The following is a 22,047-nucleotide window of genomic DNA, read 5'->3' on the forward strand; positions in this document are numbered from 1 at the left end:
GTTGGGGGCAGTTCAGCCTGACTCATCCGGCCCATCAGGTTTGGTGAGGATGCTTGCCCTCTAGTGGCACTCGCAGGGACGTCTTTAAGTAAATGCTGTTATGGGGAACCTAGGTTCTAAGGGGACAGACAGTCCCTGACCAGCTGCCATCAGGAAGTTACATGTTTCGGAATTATGAGAAAAAGTCTTGTGAATATTTGGGATCCTAGAAAAAGCTAACCTGGAACAATTAAAAGCTTTATATGCCAAAATGGAGATCTTTTGACAGAACGTTTGACATGCCTCAATTCGTTTATTAGTAGGCACAATGAGAACAGAGAGAGTTCTAGACCTCTGAGAAGCAATGGGAGGCCCTTTTGTGTGTGTGTGTGTGTGTGTGTGTGTGTGTGTGTGACAGGGTCTCACTCTGTCACGGGGACTAGAGCGTTGTGTACAATCACGGCTCACTGCAGCCTCGACCTCCTGGGCTCAAGCCATCCTCCCACCTTTGCCACCCAAGTAGCTGGGACTACAGTCATGCACCGGCACACCCTGCTAATTTATTTTCAATTTTTAATTTTTTTGTAGAAACAGGGTTTTACCATGTTGCCCAGGCTCGTCTCAAATTCCTGGACTCAAGGAATCCTCCCATGGGAGACCATTTTTAAGTGGTATTATGAGAGTTCTAAACACAGGAATCTCAGATAACCTCCTTAAATGAGATTAATTCAAAACTGAAGGAGTCTAATTCAAAACTTGACCAGCACATTCAAAACTATCTGCCACTATTGAACAGGTAGCTGGAGATACTGCACAAAGCCTTCCAGCCCAACAAAGTCTCTGAATTCCCTGGCTCAAGTAGTAATAGATAATTTAATTGCCTTAGATTTTCTCTTAGCCAAACAGGGAAGAGTCTGTGTGGTGGTCCCTAAGATCTGTGGCACTTACATCAACATTTCAAGTGAAGTAGAAACTATACAGGGCTGGGCCCAGTGGCTCATGCCTGTAGTCCCAGCACTTTGGGAGGCTGGGGCCGGAGGATCGCTTGAACTCAGGAGTTTGAGACCAGCTTGAGCAACATGGGGAAACCCTGTCTCTACAAAAAGTACAAAAATTAACAGGACATGGTAGCACACACCTGTAGTCTCAGCTACTTGGGAGGCTGGGGCAGGAGGATTGCTTGAGCCTGGGAGGCGGAGGTTGCAGTGATCAGAGATCATGCCATTGCACTTCAGCCTGGGAGAGAGAGAAAGACTCTGTCTCAAAAAATAAAAATAAAAAGAGAAAAGAAAGCTGGGCATGGTGGCACACACCTGTAATCCCAGCTATTCAGGAGGCTGAGGCACAATAATTGCTTGAGCCTGGGAGGGGGAGGTTGCAGAGAGTGGAGATTTAAGATTACGCCACTGTATTCCAGCCTGGGTGCCAAGTGAGATTGTCTCAAAAAAGGAAAAGAAATTCATACAGAAATAATTTTCAGCCGGGCATGGTGGCTCACACCTGTAACCCCAGCACTTTGGGAGGCCAAGGGGGGCAGATCACCTGAGGTCAGGCTTTCGAGACCAGCCTGGCCAACATGGTGAAACTTTGTCTCCACTAAAAATACAAAAATTAGCCAGGTGTGGTGGTGCATGCCTGTAATCAGGAGGCTGCATTCAGGAGGCTGAGGCAGGAGAATTGCTTGAACCCGGAGGCGGAGGTTGCAGTGAGCTGAGATTGTGCCACTGCACTCCAGCCTGGGCGACAGAGCGAGACTCCATCTCAAAAAGAAAAAAGAAAAAAAAAAAAGAATTTCCAAACAAGCTAAATGGTTACAAGATGTATGAACTACTGATCCCATCAATTACCTATTTAGTTGGCTTTCTACCACACTGGGAAGTTCCTTTCAAGATGCCATTCAAGTCCTTGTTATAGTAATAGTCTCCATTAACCTTTTCTTCTTAACATTTAATTACCTATAATATGTATAACCAACTGCTGTAAGTCTGCTGCTAAAACCAGAATTATGCTGGCTCAATGCGTAGATCTTATAGACAAGTTAAATTGGTAGCCCTACCTTTTGGCCTTTATGTTGCTTGATAGACCTTAGGGGTTGAGGTCTGCCCACCTCTATTCCTGTCTGGCCAGAGTTCAATTGGCTATAAGTCTCTTGGCCACAAGGGTCCCACCAAAGGACTGGATGGACCTGGAGCAGGCAACCTCACCATCCTGGCAACAACATGATACAAATTTTGCCATTGATGCTGCCTGTGGCTGATCTCAGCTAAAAAGAGGAAATGTGAAATAAAAAGAAAACCCGCCGGGTGCGGTGGCTCACACCTGTAATCCCAACACTTTGGGAGGCCGAGGCAGGTGGATCACCTGAGGTCAGGAGTTCAAGACCAGGTTTGCCAACATGGTGAAACCCTGTCCCTTCTAAATATACAAAAATTAGCCAGGCATGGTGGTGGGTGCCTGTAATCCCAGCTACTCAGGAGGCTGAGCCAGGAGAATCGCTTGAACCTGGGAGGCAGAGGTTGCAGTGAGCCGAGATCACGCCACTGCACTCCAGCCTGGGTGAGAGAGCGAGACTCTGTCTCAGAAAAAAAAAGGAAAAGAAAAGAAAAGAAAATCAAAGCCCCCTCAACTGACTGAACAAACCCATCTTGGCCAAGGAGACCCCACAAAAACTTCAAAATCTAAGTTTCTTGGCTATGATAAGACAGGAGGCTGGTCACACCCCAGTACACCCTCTTCCTTACTGTTACCGACTTTTTTCCTAACAGTTAAGAAGAAACCAGTCCTGGAAAACAGATGGAAGAATCCTGCTGATTTCAACTTCAACCACCTGATGCTGTGGCCAGACGTCCCTCTTTTTTTCGTGTTTTTATTTTGTTTTGTTCTTGTTTTTGTTTTTTTTTTGGAGACAGGGTCTCTTTTTTTTTTTTTTTTTTTGAGACAGGCTCTGTCACCCAGGCTGGAGTGCAATGGCATGATCTCGGCTCATTACAGCCTCTGCCTCCTGGGTTCAAGTGATCTTCCCGCCTCAGTCTCCCAAGTTGCTGGGACTACAGGCACACACCACCATGCCTAGCTAACTTTTGTATTTTTTTGTGGATATGGAGTTCTGCTGTGTTGCCCAGGCTTGTCTCAAACTCCTGGGCTCAAAGGATCCACCTGCCTTAGCCTCCCAAAGTGCTGGGATTACAGGCATGAGCCACTGGGCCCGGCCTCTTTTTGTGATTTTGATATGACAGCTGACCAGCTCACAAAGCATTCCTTCCTGATCAATTCCTATTAACCATGGGGTGGTTCTGGCCAATTTAGAGAGGCGGCACACAAAGTGCCTTTGTGTCCTATGTTTCGCCTTTTGATGTGTACAGCCTAAGTCTGCATTTTTTTTTTTTTTTTTTTGAGACGTAGTCTCGCTCTGTCACCCAGGCTGGAGTGCAGTGGCACCATCTTGGCTCACTGCAAGCTCCACCTCCCGGGTTCATGCCATTCTCCTGCCTCAGCCTCCCGAGTAGCTGGGACTACAGGCACCCGCCACCACACCCGGCTAATTTTTTGTATTTTTAGTAGAGACAGGGTTTCACCATAACACATGTTAGCCAGGATGGTCTCGATCTCCTGACCTCGTGATCCGCCCGCCTCGGCCTCCCAAAGTGCTTGGATTACAGGCGCGAGCCACCATGCCAGGCCTAAGACTGCATTTTAAGGTTAAGTCTTGGCTGGGCATGGTGGCTCACACCTGCAATCCTAGCACCTTGGGAGGCCAAGGTGGGAGGATTGCTTGAGCCTAGGAGTTCGAGACCAGCCTGGGCAATATAGTGAGACCCTGTCTCTCTCTTTTTTTGCGGGGGCGGGGGACGGAGTCTTGCTGTGTTGCCCAGGCTGGAGTGCAGTGGTGTGATCTTGGCTCACTGCAACCTCTGCCTCCCAGGTTCAAGCAATTCTGCCTCAGCCCCCAATAGTAGCTAGGATTACAGGTGTGCGCCACCATGCCCAGCTAATTTTTTTATTTTTAGTAGAGACGGGTTTTCACCATGTTGGCCAGGCTGGTTTCGAACTCCTAACCTCAGGTGATCCGCCCATCTCGGCCTCCCAAAGTGCTGGGATTACAGGCATGAGCCACTGCACCCAGCCTTCTTTCACTATTTTTAAATAAAAATATAAATAGGCCGGGTGCCGTGGCTCGCACCTATAATCCCAGCACTTTGGGAGGCCAAGGTGGGCAGATCACTTGAGGCCAGGAATTTGAGACAAGCCTGGCCAACACAGTGAAACCCCATCTCTACTAAGAAATAATATCAAAAAATAGCTGGGTGTGGTGGTGCACACCTATAATCCCAGCTACTCTAGAGGCTGAGGCAGGAGAATCACTTGAACCCATGAGGTGGAGGTTGCGGTGAGCCGAGATTGTGACACGGCACTCCAGCCTGGGTGATAGAGTGAGACTCTGCCCAAAAAAAAAAAAAAAAAAAAAAAACAGGCCAGGTGCCGCGGCTCACACTTGTAATCCCAGCACTTTGGGAGGCTGAGGTAGGCGGATCACTTGAGGTCAGGAGTTTGAGACCAGCCTAGCCAACATGGTAAAACCCCATCTCTACTAAAAATACAAAAATTAGCCAGGCATGGTGTCAGGCGCCTATAATTCCAGCTACTCGGGAGGCTGAGGCAGGAGAATCTCTTGAATCTGGGAGGCGGAGGTTGCAGTGAGCCAAGATCGTGCCACTGCACTCCAGCTTGGGCTACAGAGCAAGTCTCCGACTCAAAAATAAATAAATAAATGAAAAAATAAAAAAATTAATGTTAAATCTCAACCCCAAAGTGAACACAAGATGTATGTAACATGTATGTTTGCTTAGTATACATGCATGTGGCTCCCTTTCATGAACATTCATAGCTTTTCCTATAACCCATTAATATGTATGCTAGCCAACCCATTTTACATAAAACTCCTGTCCCACCCTTCCTCCCTCAAATTGCCTGCTTTTGGTCTCAGCCAAAGGCTCCACTTACCAGCCTGCAGGTTACAACCTGACATAAGAAAAAATATTGTTTCCAAATATATAGATCTGGTGATTTTAAGTTGACACTTCTCAGGTTGTCACAAGATTCAGGTATGGCTCACTGTTGCAGGACATAAGCTGGGATCTCCTGGGAATTGGTCTGCTTGCAGGCCCTAGAGAGCCTTCCTTCTTGGTTGATTTTCCTCTAGAGATCCAACTGTCTTCTCAGGCTCCCCTGCCTGCCTCCTCCTTGGGTCCTTTCTTGTGGCATTGCCCAGATTACTGGGCCCCCATTTTCCCTACACTTACTGCCACTCATAGTCTGATGGTTCCCACATCTGCATCCAACCTGGACTCTTCCCCTGAGCTTTCCCCTCTACAACCACCTTCCCCGGGCCAAGGGCACACAGGCACCTCGACAAAACAGTGTTCTATGTTTCTTCCTGCCCAAACCTGCCCCTCCCTCTCCCTTTTCCCATCTGTGGTACCACCATGGGCTCAGAGAATAAAAAAAATGAAGGCTTCTGTCATTGACTGGGGTGGAGATGGAGGGAAGAGTTAGCCCAGAATCACAGGTGCTGTAGAAAGGATACCTGAGTTGCCGGGAGAGGGGGTCCATGAGTTGGGGATGGAAGGAGAGCTTGGCCCTTCAAACAATTGAAGATCTGATCAAAAGATTCAGAACATCTGTGATTTTGTGGCTGGTGATGGGTGACACCTGGGCTAATGGGGTTGGGGGAGTTGGTGGCTCTACAATTTATGGCCTTGGGAGATCCTTGCTCTCTATAGCTGACTGGGAGGTTGGAAGCCTGGGCTCTAGCCCTTGCCTTGATCCTCCGGATCTCATTTTCCTCATCTGCCTAACAGGACAGAGGGGTTGGAAACTGATGAGATTAGCTCAAAGGATCCTGGCAGCTCAGGCTGCAAGATTTTTTTCAGACCTCAGTGTTTGGGAAAAAATTGGGTAGGTGGAGCTTAGGGACTGGCCTTAGGCCTGCACTGTTAATTCACCCCCTCCCACTACCCCATGGAGGCCTGGCTGGTGCTCACATACAATAATTAACTGCTGAGTGGCCTTCGCCCAATCCCAGGCTCCACTCCTGGGCTCCATTCCCACTCCCTGCCTGTCTCCTAGGCCACTAAACCACAGCTGTCCCCTGGAATAAGGCAAGGGGGAGTGTAGAGCAGAGCAGAAGCCTGAGCCAGACGGAGAGCCACCTCCTCTCCCAGGTATGTGACACTCCCCATCCCCCTTCAGAGGCCACACACCCTATGGCATTCCCACCATGTGTTAAGGATTTTCTGAACTGGAAGGGCCCTCTGTTTGCCTGAAGGCCAGAGAATCTTGAAGTGGAGACTGAGGCCCAGACCAGAGTGTGGCCTGCTCAAGGTTAAACGACAAGTTAGTGTTCATCCCCCTGAACTAGTACCTGGGCTCTAGCCCTTCAGTCCAGAGCTGAGTTCTCAGCTCTTCTAGTCTGGGGCCCCAAGGTTGGGTGTGGGGGTCATGATTGTTGGTGGGGAGGGGTCACAGCTGGACTAAGACCTGAAGGTGAGACTAGGCAGGTGGGAAAGGAGCTTGCAGAGTGATGCTGCTCAAAAGGACAGGAAGAGAGCCTGGCTTCAGAAGCAGCCACAGCAAGAGAGACTACTGACTGAACAGGTGGGCTCCACTGGGGGCTGGGGAAAGGATTTTCTCAGCCCCCATCCCCAGCACTGTGTGTTGGCCGCACCCATGAGAGCCTCAGCACTCTGAAGGTGCAGGGGGCAAAGGCCAAAAGAGCTCTGGCCTGAACTTGGGTGGTCCCTACTGTGTGACTTGGGGCATGGCCCTCATCTGTGCTGAAATGATTCCACAAAGATTAAACTGGCTATCATTTGTTGATTTCCCCCTTCTTACATTTAATCCTTGCAGGAGAAAGCTAAGCCTCAAGATAGTTTGCTTCTCTTTCCCCCAAGGCCAAGGAGAAGGTGGAGTGAGGGCTGGGGTCGGGACAGGTTGAACGGGAACCCTGTGCTCTAAACAGTTAGGGTTTGTTCCCGCAGGAACTGAACCCAAAGGATCACCTGGTATTCCCTGAGAGTACAGATTTCTCCGGCGTGGCCCTCAAGGTTAGTGAGTGAGCAGGTCCACAGGGGCATGATTGGATCCTGGAATGAATGAATCAACCATGAGAGAGTGAATGAACACTGGAATCAATAGAGTAGCAGAGTAATGGATTGTGGAGCAGGAAAGAGAGCTGCTGGGTGGGAATTCAATTCCAGGCTTATATGAGCCCTGCTGTGCAGTCGGCCTGGAGACAGCCCAGCTCAGGCCCTGCCTAGACCCCTGTCAAGGAGGCCCTGTCAAGAGGAGAGGAGGGGCAGCACGGGGGCAAGGCAAGCTTGTGAGCGGGAAAGGCATGTCCACTTTAGCGACTGGTATGTGGAAGATGAGTTAGAGGAGACAGATGGAGAGAAGTCATAGGAAATAAATTCTGAGCATTTTAGGAGGGCCCAGACACCTGGTGTCCAGTGGAGTGAAGGAAACAGTCGCCTCCCAAAATTCAGTGTCTGAGGTCAAAGGATTGAAGTTCTGTGATGACCAAGGAGAAGCCAGCTCTGTGGTAGGGGGCACAGGAGCTCCCCAAGGCCCCAGGGCTGTCCAGCTGGCTGTCCCCTGCCAGCACCCATGTCCTGTGACCCCACCCCACCAAGATCCCATGGTTTCCGGGAAGGGCCTACTAAACTAGCTTGAGTGATGAGGCTAGAAAGGGGCTGGGACCAAGGTTTAAAAAGCAAAACAAACTAACAAAAACCACACTGCAGCCCCCCCAACTAAAACATTTTTATAAACTTTTTTTTTTTTTTTGAGATGGAGTCTCGCTCTGTCACCCAGGCTAGAGTGCAATGGCACAATCTTGGCTCACTGTAACCTCCACCTCCTGGATTCAAGTGATTCTCCTGCCTCAGCCTCCCACGTAGCTGGGACTACAGGCACACGACACCGCACCCAGCTCATTTTGTATTTTTAGTAGAGACAGGGTTTCACTATGTTGGCCAGGCTGGTCTCAAACTTCTGACCTCAGGTGATCCACCCACCTCAGCCTTCCAAAGTGCTGGGATTACAGGCATGAGCCACCGCGCCCAGCCCATTTTTGTAAACTTTTACAATGAAGTAATTTGGTGTCAAAATCTGACCTGAAAATTAATGTGAGTTTATGTATAGTTTTAATTTATCCCACTAGTGTAACTGTTTCACCCCAGAATATACACTTGATTATTGGGTATATGAAAATTATATTTTCTTTGAATCACCTTTGATGAAATCCTAAAAAATTTTAACCCTGAAACATTTGAATAAGGCATTGTGGACCTATGGCAAACTCCTGGCTATTTCTGCATTTTGCCCAAATCCATCCTTGAATTATATCACCTGAACCTCGTGACCACCTGGAGAAGGCAATGAGGCTCAAGCCAGGGAGGGGTGGTGTCTAATCCTACCTTTCATTGGATCTGGGAAAACTGAGGGAGATGGGGGCAGGGCTCTATCTGCCCCAGGCTTCCGTCCAGGCCCCACCCTCCTGGAGCCCTGCACACAACTTAAGGCCCCACCTCCGCATTCCTTGGTGCCACTGACCACAGCTCTTTCTTCAGGGACAGACATGGCTCAGCGGATGACAACACAGCTGCTGCTCCTTCTAGTGTGGGTGGCTGTAGTAGGGGAGGCTCAGACAAGGATTGCATGGGCCAGGACTGAGCTTCTCAATGTCTGCATGAACGCCAAGCACCACAAGGAAAAGCCAGGCCCCGAGGACAAGTTGCATGAGCAGGTGGGCCAGGGGGTGATCTGGGGTGGTGAGGGACTGGCTCAGGAAGAGGAAACGAGGACATGGAAATGCCAAACCCCATTCACTGGTGAACTGAAGTGGAGGAGCCCTTCAGTTTGCATTAATATGGGTGACTATTTCACAGACACTGTGCCAAATGTCGGTACAATGCCAACAGTTCACCTTCTTGGTTGTTGAGTTTCCGCATTACAGAAATAAGGAAGCAGGCCCAAAGGAGAGCCTGGGAAATGAAGTTGGAGTGACCCATCCTGGGGTTGCTTGATTTAGGGATTTAGACTGGGAATGACTCCTCCAAAGATCTGAGGGAAGAAACTGCACACTGTGCATAGTGGCCTCTTTTCTGCCAGCCCTAAACAGCTCAAGAAGGGAGAGTCTCTCACATTATGAGGCTGTGTGCAAAGCATTCTTTTTTTTTTTTCCTGAGACAAAGTCTCCATATGTTGCCCAGGCTGGTCTCAAATTCCTGGACTCAAGTGATCCTCCCACCTCAGCCTCCCAAAGTGTGGGATTACAGAAATGAGCCGTACGCCCTCCTGAAGCATCTTGGTTCATGCATCTCGCAAAACTTTGGGCTGTGTCTCTCGACCACATTGGACCTGAGGTCTCCCTATAACATTTATTTTGCTACCACCCCTTTAATATCCTGAACATGATGATATAACTAAAGAAAAAGCAGAGGAAAAGTAATTTGTAGGCCAGGTGTTACGGCTCACGCCTGTAATCCCAACACTGTGGGATGTCGAGATGGGCAGATCACTTGAGCTCAGGAGTTCGAGACCAGCCTGGGCAAGATGGCAAAACCCCATCTCTACTAAAAAATAAAAAAAATTAGTCAGGTGTGGTGGCACATGCCTGCAGTCCCAGCTACTCAGGAGGCTGAGGTGGGCAGGTCAGTTGAGCCCAGGAGGCAGAGATTGTAGATCGTGCCACTGCACTCCAGCCTGGGCAACAGAGTGAGACCTTGTCAAAAGAAAGAAAGAACGAAAAAAAGAAAGAAAGGAAGGAAGGAAGGGGAGGAAGGAAAGGGAGGGAGGAAAGGGAGGGAGGAAAGGGAGGGAGGCAAGGGAGAGAAACTTGTAATACGCATTTCTTTTTTTTTTTCTTGAGATAGAGTTTTGCTCTTGTTGCCCAGGGTGGAGTGCAGTGGCACAATCTCAGCTCACTGCAACCTCCACCTCCCAGGTTCAAGTGATTCTCCTGCCTCAGCCTCCTGAGTAGGCACACGCCACCACACCCAGCTAATTTTTTGTTTGTTTGTTTGTTTTGTTTGTTGGTATTTTTAGTAGAGATGGGGGTTTCACCATGTTGGCCAGGCTGGTCTCGAACTCCTCACCTCATAATCCGCCCCTCTTGGCCTCCCAAAGTGCTGAGATTACAGGTGTGAGCCACTGCGCCCGGCCTTAAGTGCACATTTTATTTATTTATTTATTTATTTATTTATTGAGATGGAGTCTTGCTCTGTTGCCCAGGCTGGAGTGCAGTGGCACAATCTCAGCTCACTGCAACCTCCACCTCCCAGGTTCAAGCAATTCTCCTGCCTTGGCCTCCAGAGTAGCTGGGACTATAGGCACCTGCCACCATGCCTAGCTAATTTTTGTATTTTTAGTAGAAATGGGGTTTTGCCATGTTGGCCAGGCTGGTCTCCATTCTTGACCTTAAGTGATCTGTCCACCTCCACCTCCCAAAGTGCTGGGATTACAGGCACTATGTGAGCCACTGTGCCGGCCCACATTTTAATATTTAGCTTGTCAGCCTTAAGTAATGAGATTCAGGAAGCTTGAGGATAGGCACACAGGAGCATAGTTTCAAGTTGTCCTGAATTTTGCAGCCATCACAAGTTAGTTTTTAAGGAAAAAGATTAGTTCCTAAGTTGTTTCTCAATAACTTATAATAAAATAACATCCACAATTGATTGGCTATACATTGTTTTTTTGTATCACAAATTCCACAAACAGATAATGGGTGAGGCAGCTAGTCAGGGACAAAACACTTCCCAAGTAGCTGGGATTACAGGTGTCCGCCACCACACTTGGCTAGTTTTTTGTTTGTTTATTTTTTGAGATGGAGTCTTGCTCTGTCGCCCAGGCTGGAGTGCAGTGGCATGATCTCGGCTCACTGCAAGCTCCACCTGCCGGGTTCACACCATTCTCCTGCCTCAGCCTCCCAAGTAGCTGGGACTACAGGTGCCAGCCACCACGCCCGGCTAATTTTTTGTATTTTTAGTAGAGACGGGGTTTCACCATGTTGGCCAGGATGGTCTTGATCTCTTAGCCTCGTGATCCACCCGCCTCGGCCTCCCAAAATGCTGGGATTACAGGCGTGAGCCACCGCACCCGGCCTAATTTTTATATTTTTAGTAGAGACGGGGTTTCACCATGTTGGCCAGGCTGGTCTCAAACTCTTGATCTCAGGTGATCCACCTGCCTTGGCCTCCCAAAGTGCTGGGATTACACAAGTAAGCCACTGCACCCAGCCTGGGGTTACAATTTAAATTGCTTTTTTACCTTCAAATCTTTGACACCTCAGTGAGGCTTAATCTGACCGCACTATTACACTACAAGTCCCCATCCGTCTCTGCTTAATTTTTGTCCAAAGCAAAAATCAGGTGATGTGTTCATTGTTGTAACCCCAGTTTCTACAAAAGTACCTGGGTGAGAGTAAGTAGGATCTCAATAAAGGTTGAATTAACAAATTTTGTAATGACTGCAACTCCAGCAGGAGCTCCCTTTTGGGCTCCCACTGTCTCTGACGGCCCTCTCCCCTAAAGAGGTCCCAATAGCAAGTATTTTCCTGGGTGACTTCCAGTGGGCTGGGGAATCAAGGACTAAGAGGGGAGACACTGCATGTGGAATATTCTGGCTGTGCTGGCTGTGCTGGCTGTGGACTGAGTCCTCTGTCTTCCCCCATCCAGTGTCGACCCTGGAGGAAGAATGCCTGCTGTTCTACCAACACCAGCCAGGAAGCCCATAAGGATGTTTCCTACCTATATAGATTCAACTGGAACCACTGTGGAGAGATGGCACCTGCCTGCAAACGGCATTTCATCCAGGACACCTGCCTCTACGAGTGCTCCCCCAACTTGGGGCCCTGGATCCAGCAGGTATGCATGGCTTCCTGCAGGTACAAGACCTAGCGGAGCAGCTGAGCTTTCCAGGCATCTCTGCAGGCTGCAACCCCAGCTCCAGTTCTATTCGGGGCTGAGTTGCTGGGATTCTTGAACCTGAGCCCTTCTTTTGTATCAAAATCACCCAGGTGGATCAGAGCTGGCGCAAAGAGCGGGTACTGAACGTGCCCCTGTGCAAAGAGGACTGTGAGCAATGGTGGGAAGATTGTCGCACCTCCTACACCTGCAAGAGCAACTGGCACAAGGGCTGGAACTGGACTTCAGGTGAGGGCTGGGGTGGGCAGGAATGGAGGGATTTGGAAGTGGAGGTGTGTGGGTGTGGAACAGGTATGTGACAATTTGGAGTTGTAGGGCTGGCAGACCTCAAGATAGTTCCGGGCCCAGTGGCTAAAGGTCTTCCCTCCTCTCTACAGGGTTTAACAAGTGCGCAGTGGGAGCTGCCTGCCAACCTTTCCATTTCTACTTCCCCACACCCACTGTTCTGTGCAATGAAATCTGGACTCACTCCTACAAGGTCAGCAACTACAGCCGAGGGAGTGGCCGCTGCATCCAGATGTGGTTCGACCCAGCCCAGGGCAACCCCAATGAGGAGGTGGCGAGGTTCTATGCTGCAGCCATGAGTGGGGCTGGGCCCTGGGCAGCCTGGCCTTTCCTGCTTAGCCTGGCCCTAATGCTGCTGTGGCTGCTCAGCTGACCTCCTTTTACCTTCTGATACCTGGAAATCCCTGCCCTGTTCAGCCCCACAGCTCCCAACTATTTGGTTCCTGCTCCATGGTCGGGCCTCTGACAGCCACTTTGAATAAACCAGACACCGCACATGTGTCTTGAGAATTATTTGGATATGAATGGGAACGTGACTGTTTTGTTTTCCAATTCCCATTGATTGAAACCAGTGAGACTGGGCCAATTCCTAGCTCTGACAGTTGCTATAAACTAGCCTGATACTTAACTATTTTTCTAACTTAGGAGACATTCGTAGCTCTCAATTTCATTTTTTACTATTGCTCCAATCTAGAGCCAAGCCCAGGAATTTTTCATTTGTTTGTTTTGAGACAGGGTCTCACCCAGGAATATTTTGTTTGTTTTGAGACAGGATCTCACTCTGTCACCAGGCTGGAGTGCAGTGGCATGACCTTGATTCACTGTAACATCTGCCTCCTGGGCTCAAGTGATCCTCCCACCTCAGCCTCTCAACTTGAGACTGCAACCATGTGCCACCACACCTGGCTAATTTTTTTTTTTTTTTTGAGATGGAGTTTCGCTCTTGTTGCCCAGGCTGGAGTGCAATGGCATGATCTTGGCCCACTGCAACCTCCTCCTCCCAAGTTCAAGTGATTCTCTTGCCTCAGCCTCCAGAGTAGCTGGGATTATAGGCATGCACCACCATGCCCGGCTGATTTTGTATTTTTAGTAGAGACAGGGTTTCTCCATGTTGGTCAGGCTGGTCTTGAACTCCCGACCTCAAGTGATCCGCCTGCCTTGGCCTCCCAAAGTGCTGGGATTACAGGCGTGAGCCACTGCGCCCAGCCCCACCTGGCTAATTGTTACATTTTTTTATAAAGAGGAGATCTTGGTATGTCGTCCAGGCTGATCTCAAACTCCTGGCCTGAAGCAAACCTTTCATCTCAGACTTCAAAAGTACTGGGATTACAACCGTGAGCCACCACACCCAGCGCAGTCTCAGCTCACTGCAACCTCTGCCTCCCACATTCAAGCAATTCTGCCTCAGCCTCCCGAGTACCTGGGACTATAGGTGTGGGCCACCATGCCTGGCTAATTTTTGTATTTTTATTAGAGATGGGGTTTCGCCATGTTGGCCAAGCTGGTCTGGAACTCCTAACCTCAGGTGAACCACCCACCTCAGCCTCCCAAAGTGCTGGGATTACAAGTGTGAGACACCATGCCCAGCCTAGCTCAGGATTTTATCATTTAAACTGAACATAAGCTTCCCAGGGTTGATTCCTGTGCTGTGCTCAGCTCTCCAAAAGAAGAGGTGGGAATGGCTGTACCCAGCATGTTTTGGATGGGTTGCTGGGAAGAGGGTAAGGGTGGCAGCAAGAGCCATATGGCACTAACAGCTAATACCCACAAAGCATTTTCTGCTAGGCACTATCCTAAACTGTTTATACCGATGACATGTAGATACTACTGTCTGCATTTTCCATATGTAGAAACAGACACATAAATTAAAGAACATTGCCTGGCCAGGCACAGTGGCTCACACCTATAATCCCAGCTCTTTGGGAGGCCAAGTCGGGCGGATCACCTGAGGTCAGGAGTTCGAGATTAGCCTAGCCAACATGGCAAAACCCTGTCTCTACTAAAAATACAAAACTTAGCCGGACGTGGTGGTGTGCACCTGTAATCCCAGCTACTCGGGAGGCTGAGGCAGGAGAATCTCTCGAACCCAGGAGGCAGAAGTTGCAGTGACCAGAGATCACACCATTGCACTCCTGCCTGGGCAACAGAGCGAAACTCCGCCTCAAAAAAAAAAAAAAAAAAAAAAGAAAGGACATGCTCTTTCCCATCATGGAGTGAATAAATATGTGTGTCTTGAAGGGATAATGGGTCCATGGCTGACCAGAGGAGCTGGGCCTAAGCTGCTCTGCCAGAGCTAGGATGGGAACCCAAACTTCGACTCCTAAGCAGGTTCCAAACCAATAACCTGAAGGGTTTTAAGGCAGCGTTCTCCATTAAATATAGTTTGTAACCTTTGTATTAAGCCAGGTTATATTACAGTAACATTCGTAATATTTCTGTGGCATCATACAACTCACCTTTTTGGGTTTTTTTTGTTTGTTTTCTTTCGTTTAGAGACAGAGTCTCTCTCTGTCACCCAGGCTGGAGTACTGGCATGATTATAGCTCACGGCAGCTTCAAATTCCTGGGCTCAAGTGATCTTCCTGCCTCAGCCTCCTGAGTAGTTGGGACTACAGCTGTGAGCCACAACATCCAGCTAATATATACACATATAAAATATGTATTATATATATACAATAGTAAAGACAGGGAGGTTCTCACTATCTTACCCAGGTTGGTCTTGAACTTGCACTGAAGTGATCCTCTCAAAATGCTGGGATTACAGATGTGAGCCACTGTGCCTGGCCACAAATCATGTTTATTTCTTGCTCAAGCTGCAATGTTTAATGTGGGTTATCAGAGGGATTCTGTTCATTTCTCTTTCCTGGACTACATTAGCAGCCAGGGGGTTCTGCTTCTCATTCCAGGCCCAGGCTGATGGAGGCTCCATCTTCTATGAAACAGGAAGAGGGAACTTAGCGAATTCCATAAGGCTCTTCAAATTTCCACCTGTCACTTATATCATTGGCCAAATCAAGTCATGAGCATGCCTAAATTCAAGAAGGCCAGGAAAACATGATCTTATCATGTACTTGGAAGGACAGGAGAATCACAAGGTTTGCAACAGACCTCGTTGTTTTCTGGTCAGTTTCTATTTCATGCACGGTCATAGTTACAAATTTAATTTTTTGGTTAGATCCTAGTAAGAAGGAGGATCAACTCTTTAAACCTATGCAAATAACTACATCAACCCAGGCCGGGCATGGTGGCTTATGCCTGTAACCCCAGCACTTTGGGAGGTCGAGGCAGGCGGATCACTTGAGGGCAAGAGTTCAAGACCAGCCTGGCCAACATGGTGAAACTCCGTCTCTACTAAAAATACAAAAAAATCAGCCAGACGTGATGGCACATGCCTGTAAACCCCAGCTTGTTGGGAAGGTGAGGCATGAGAATTGCTTGAACCCGGGAGGTGGATGTTGCAGTGAGCCGAGATCCTGCTATTGCACTCCAGCCTGGGCGATGGGCAATGGAGTGAGACTCCGTCTCAAAAAAAAAAAAAAAGAAAAAAAAAAGAAAAACTACACACACACAGAAAAAACCAGAAAAACTACATCAACCCGAAAAGTGGAGCAATCCACTGCTGACCGCCCTGGGTAGTCTTGTAAACAAGGTCAATTGTTGCATCATGTTCTCTACAGGATCAGTGACACCATTTACAAATATGATTAGTTTACAGATATATTTGGATTAGTGGAATTAAAGATAAGTACCATCTAAAACCAACTTTTTTTTCTTTTTTTGAGATGGAGTCTTACTCTGTCACCAAGGCTGGAGTGCGGTGGCACAATCTCGTGTCACTGAAACCTCTGCTTCCTGGGTTCAAGCAATTCTCATGCCTCAGCCTCCAAGAAGCTGGGATTATAGGCATGTGCCACCATGCCCAGCTAATTTTCATAATTTTTAGTAGATACGGGGTTTCACCATTTGGTCAGGCTGGTCTCAAACTCCTGGCCTCAAGCAATCCACCTGACTTGGCCTCCCAAGGTGCTGGGATGACAGGCATGAGCCACTATGCCCGACCTATTTCTTTTACTTATTTATTTTGTGTGTGTGTGTGTGTGTGTGTGTGTGTGTGTGTGTGTGTGTGTGTTGGTTTTTGTTTTGAGACGGAGTCTCTCTCTTGTCCAGGCTGGAATGCAGTGGTGTGATCTCAGCTCACTGCAATGTCTGCCTCCCGGCTTCTACTGCCTCAGCCTCCTGAGTAGCTGGGACTACAAGCATGCGCCACCACACCCAGCTAATTTTTGTATTTTTAGTAGAGACAGGGTTTCTCCATGTTGGCCAGGCTGGTCTGGAACTCCTGGGCTCAAGTGATTCACCCACTTCGGTCTCCCAAAGTGCTGGGGTTGCAGCCGTGAACCACCAAGCCTGGCCCACTTCTTTTTTGGACCAAAAGCATAGGTGATGAATGCAAAAATTGATAAATTGGACTTAAAATTCAAAACTCTTGCCCTTTAAAAGACAGCCTTAAGAAAATTAAAAGACAAGCAACAGACTGGAGGAAATATTTACAAAACACATCTGATAAAGCATCTGTATTCATAATATACAAAGAACACTTACAACTCAGTAATTATAAGGCAGTTGACCCAATCAAATAATGGGCAAAAGAAATGAACAAACTTCATTAAAGAAGATACATAGGTCGAGTGCGGTAGTTCATGTCTGTAATCCCAGCACGTTGGGAGGCTGAGGCGGCCGGATCACTTAAGGCCAGGAGTAAAGACCAGCCTGGCTAACATGGCAAAACCCTGTCTCTACTAAAAATACAAAAATTAGCCAGGTGCGGTGACACATGCCTGTAATCTCAGCAACTCGGGAGGCTGAGACAGGAGAATTGCTTGAAACTGGGAGGTGGAGATTGCAGTGAGCTGAGATCATGCCACTGCACTCCAGCCTGGGTGACAGAGCGAGACTGTGTCTCAGAAAAAAAAAAAAAGAAGATACACAAATTATGAGTAGTTACGTGAAAAGATACTCAACATTATTAATCATTAGAAAAGTGCAAATTAAAACCCCAGTAATATACCATTTTATACCTATTAGAATGGCAATAATAATAAGATAGACAATAACAAATGTTGGCAAGGATGTGAACCCTCACACAGTGCTGGTGGGGATGTAAAATGGTACAGCCCTTTGGAAAACAGTGTGGCAGTTTCTCAAAAAGTTAAATGTAAAACTACCATACAACTCAAAATTCCACTTCCAGGTATCTACTCAGGAGAAATGAAAATCAACATAACAAAACTTAATTATGAATATTCATAATATTAGGTATCATTATACATAATAGTCCCAAGCTGGCAATAACCTATATATACGTATACACGTATACACGTATACACGTATACGTATGTACACGTATACACGTATACGTATGTACACGTATACACGTATACGTATGTACACGTATACACGTATACGTATGTACACGTATACACGTATACGTATGTACACGTATACACGTATACGTATGTACACGTATACACGTATACACGTATACAGACGTATACACGTATACGTATGTACACGTATACACGTATACGTATGTACACGTATACACGTATACGTATGTACACGTATACACGTATACGTATGTACACGTATACACGTATACGTATGTACACGTATACACGTATACGTATGTACACGTATACACGTATACGTATGTACACGTATACACGTATACACGTATACATACGTATACACGTATACACGTATGTATACGTATACACGTATACGTATGTATACGTATACACGTATACACGTATACACGTATACGTATGTACACGTATACACGTATACGTATACACGTATACACGTATACACGTATACGTATGTACACGTGTACACGTATACACGTATACACGTATACGTATGTACACGTGTACACGTATACACGTATACACGTATACGTATGTACACGTATACATATGTATGTATACATACATACATACGTATAAGTATACATATGTATGTATACATACATACATACGTATAAGTATACATATGTATGTATGTATATATATTTTTTGAGACGGAATTTTGGTCTTGTTGCCCAGGCTGGAGCGTAATGGCGTGATCTTGGCTCACTGTAACCTCTGCTTCCTGGATTCAAGCGATTCTCCTGCCTCAGCCTCCCAAGTATCTGGGAGTACAGGCACACACCACCATGCCTGGCTAATTTTTGTATTTTTTAGTAGATACAGGGTTTCGCCATGTTGGTCAGACTGGTCTTGAACTCCTGACCTCAGGTGATACACCTGTCTCGGCCTCCCAAAGTGCTGGGATTACAGACGTGCGCCACCGCACCTGGCAATAACCTAAATTTTTAGCAGCTGGTGAGTGGATAGACAAAATGTGGTAAATCCATACAGTAGAAGACTGCAGCAATGAAACGTGATGACACATGCTATGTTGTGGATGAACCTCAAAAACATTATGCTAAGTGAAAGGAGCCAGACCTAAGAGGCTTCATGTGGCATGATTTCACTTACGTGAAATGTGCAGGAAAGGCAAATTTATAGAGGCGGTAAGTAGAGTAGTAGCTGCCTGGGGCTGGAAGTGAGAACAGGGATTAATTGTAAATGGGCATGACGGGGGATGAAAATTACTGAGGGGATGATTCTGAGTTTCTGCGAGGTGTGCACATGAGGGAAACTATTCTAACAAATTTGGCATGTGGCTTCATAAAAATCTATCATCTGAGACAAACTCCATTCCCAATCTAAAAGATTGGTTGGAGGCTGAGTGTGGTAGCTCATGCCTGTAACCTCAGCACTTTGGGAGGCCGAAGAGGGTGGATGGCTTGAGCTTAGGAGTTTGAGACCAGCCTGGGCAACATGGTGAAATCAAGTCTCTAGAAAAAAAATACAAAAATTAGCTGGGTGTGATGGCGCACGCCTTAGTTCCAGCTACTTGGGAGGCTGAGGTCGGAGGATCTCCTGAGCCCGGGGAGGTTGAGCCTGCAGTGAGCGGTGATTGTACCACTGCACTCCAGCCTGGGTTGACAGAGTGGGACCCTGTCTCCAAAAAAAAAAAAAAAAAAAAAAAGATAGGATTTGGCAGTCAAGGAGTGAGTCTATTCTTGGTGTAGATGTAGATAACACCATTAGAGATGTTTATGAGGTAGCCCATTGACCAAGGACTTTTTTTAAAAAAGAGTGTTTATTCCAGCTGGCACAGGTAAGTTTTGCTAAACTGAGTGTTAGAGACCAGAGCCAGGGGAAAGAAAAAGGCTATATCATATGCCTAACCCCCTAAAAAATTAGAGAAAAGGGAACATGAAGTACATTACCAAAAATACCAAGACTATAACCACAATCATATCTCTTTCATTAACTTTCCTCTTTCCTTTTCTAGTTACATGTTCTTGGGCTAGCATCTTCCCCCAGAGAAGTCTTCTGCCTGAGGGCTGAAATTTTGCTAGAAATCCCTAGTCTGAGGACTCTGGTAGGTTGACTCAACCAAGTGTTAGTTTACGGTGATGATATCAGATACATGGGTTTATTTCCTGTCAGCAAAGTATAGCAGGTATGTTTAGACAAACAAGAGTGGAGAATAGAAACCAGCTGTTGAGCTGGGTGTGGTGGCATGTTCCTGTAGTCTCAGGTACTTGGGAGGCTGAGGTGGGAGGATCTCTTGAGCCCAGGGAGGTTGAGGCTGCAGTGAGTGGTGATCATACCACTGCACTCCAGCCAAGGACGTCAGAGTGAGACCCTGTCTTAAAAAAAAAAAAAAAAAAAAAAGGAAACCAGTTGTTGAGAGTATCAAACAGCCTGGCCAATCTATTCATTTTTAATATCAGAATGAAAGAAGAATATTCACTGGGGTTTACTACATAACGGCACAAACCTACTGGCGACTGCTAGATTTCATGAGGACTCAGATGATGGCTACATAGAACCTATTATTATTAGAACCTGGGGAGGGAGCAAGGGACAGGGAGGTTTAGTCTTCTCAACCGATTTAACTTTTTTCTTAATTTTTAGACAGTCTTGCTCTGACACCCAGGCTGGAGTGCGGTGGCGTGATCTCAGCTCACTGTAATCTCTACCTCCCAGATTCAAGCGATTCTCATGCCTCAGCCTCCTGAGTAGCTGGGACCACAGGCATACGCCACCACATCTGGCTAATTTTTTTGTGTTTTTGGTGGAGATGGGATTTCATCATGTTGGCCAGGCTGGTCTCGAACTCCTGGCCTCAAGTGATTCACCCGCCTCGGGCTCTCAAAGTGTTAGGATTACAGGTGTGAGCCACCGTGCCCAGCCTAACTTATGTTTGATAATTCTATGTGTCTTCTCTAGTTGGCTGAGCTCTGCAGGTGATATAGATAATGAATGTATTTACAAATCTTGAGGGCCTTATAGTCTATTTTGTAACACGTGTACTACAATTGCTACCAATAGTACAAGGTTAAACTATGGAATAAAATCAACATGGGCATAAATGTGACAGTCATCACGTAAGGCCTTGCACATGAATATGAGTATACTTTTATCCTTCCAGGAAGGTCCACAATCATACTCACAATACTTTACCTTGCATAAAAATCATCTTAGCTGGGTGCGGTGGTTCACATCTGTACAGCCTGGACAACATAGTGAGACCTCGTCTCTACAAAAAATAAATAATTAGCTGGGCATGGTGGTGCACACCTGTAGTCCCATCTACTTGGGGAGGCTAAGGCAGGAGGATCGCTTGAGCCCAAGAGGTCAAGGCTGCAGTGAGCAGTGTTTGTGCCACTATACTCTAGCCTGGGTGACAGTGAGACCCTATCTCAAAAAAATATCTAGAAGGAATGAGCCCCTCTTTTTGGTCTGACATCTTTCTCTACTTTGTGGACATGATGGACAAGGCAGCTCATAATACTGATAAACTAATTTTAAAAATATGGAGCATGCCAATTATACCTAATTATTTTTAGCATCCCTCCTTGTATCCTTCTTTCCTTATGAGTGTTATGCTGTGTGGGAGTGAATTTTTGGTGTAATCCAGTAGCTGTCTGGGAAGTGTAAGATGATTTTGCTGTTAAAAAAGAAATGCCTTGATAGTTATATTATTCTGAATTAGGACCTGATCTTGGAGGACAACAGAAAAAAGTGTTCTCTGGGAAAGGCCTTCATCTTGGCTGTGTAAGAAAACTATATTTCACAACAACCTTGTCATTAGGAACTCTAACTTCTTTATAGGTGAAGAATCCTATTGTTTTATTTTATATCATGACCCAAGACTGTGACATGAGTCAGCACAACAGGAAAATTAAAAAAAAAAAAAAAAGAAAGAAAAATAACATGCTTTTTGAGAAGTGAAATTCACATTCAGTTTGGGTAAGAACCTAAACTCTGCTGTCAGGGAAAAACACACAGGAAATAAAAAATAACTTTTGTTTCTTCATGTTAAAAGTAGACTTATACTCAAATGTTATACTCAAAGATGATTTTTTATGAGCAGCCAATATTGTTTAAAGCTTTCTATTTCTTAAAATAGAAGTCATCTGAAGAAGCACTTTTAGAAGGGCAGAATAAGGACGTTTGAAAATGCATTCCTCCATAAAAGCAAGAAAAACACTGGCAAAAATGGTCAAAATCAACTTTTTTAGCTGAGTGCGGTGGCTCATGCCTGTAATCCCAGCACTTTGGGAGGCCAAGGCGGGAAGATCACCTGAGATCAGGAGTTTGAGACCACCTTGGCCAACATGGTGAAACCCCGTCTCTACTAGAAATACAAAAATTAGCCAGGCATGGTGGCAGATGCCTGT

General features: G+C 46.7%; 1 protein-coding gene and 1 long non-coding RNA gene across 5 annotated transcripts in view; one reads left to right on the top strand and one right to left on the bottom strand.

The window, feature by feature from the left end:
- FOLR1-AS1 (FOLR1 antisense RNA 1) overlaps nt 1-22,047 on the bottom strand; it is a 45,920-nt gene that overhangs the window by 20,238 nt on the left and 3,635 nt on the right. The window contains exon 2 of the long non-coding RNA NR_199595.1: nt 14,954-15,177. This is a non-coding gene — a long non-coding RNA (FOLR1 antisense RNA 1). The remainder of the gene's footprint in view (nt 1-14,953; nt 15,178-22,047) is intronic.
- On the top strand, nt 6,150-12,764 carry FOLR1 (folate receptor alpha). Of its 4 annotated transcripts, NM_016724.3 has the most exons (6): nt 6,150-6,200; nt 7,017-7,082; nt 8,607-8,782; nt 11,712-11,900; nt 12,053-12,188; nt 12,338-12,740. In NM_016724.3, the coding sequence occupies exons 3-6, from the start codon at nt 8,615-8,617 to the stop codon at nt 12,616-12,618; spliced, it is 774 nt and encodes a 257-aa protein (NP_057936.1). In that variant the 5' UTR covers nt 6,150-6,200; nt 7,017-7,082; nt 8,607-8,614; the 3' UTR covers nt 12,619-12,740. The 4 variants fall into 4 exon arrangements, with proteins under 4 accessions (NP_057936.1, NP_057937.1, NP_000793.1 ...); NM_016725.3 differs by lacking the exon at nt 7,017-7,082; NM_000802.3 differs by lacking the exons at nt 6,150-6,200; nt 7,017-7,082 and adding an exon at nt 6,356-6,372 and having other exon boundaries at nt 12,338-12,764.

Source organism: Homo sapiens, chromosome 11, assembly GCF_000001405.40.
Source record: "Homo sapiens chromosome 11, GRCh38.p14 Primary Assembly".
NCBI lineage: Eukaryota > Metazoa > Chordata > Mammalia > Primates > Hominidae > Homo > Homo sapiens.

Excerpts from the sequence above, each read along its gene's own strand:
- FOLR1 (NM_016724.3), top strand. The coding sequence starts at position 8,615 with ATGGCTCAGCGGATGACAACACAGCTGCTGCTCCTTCTAGTGTGGGTG. Across the intron at positions 8,783-11,711 it reads AGGACAAGTTGCATGAGCAG|TGTCGACCCTGGAGGAAGAA; the intron begins GTGGGCCAGGGG and ends TCCCCCATCCAG. Across the intron at positions 12,189-12,337 it reads GGGCTGGAACTGGACTTCAG|GGTTTAACAAGTGCGCAGTG; the intron begins GTGAGGGCTGGG and ends TCCTCTCTACAG.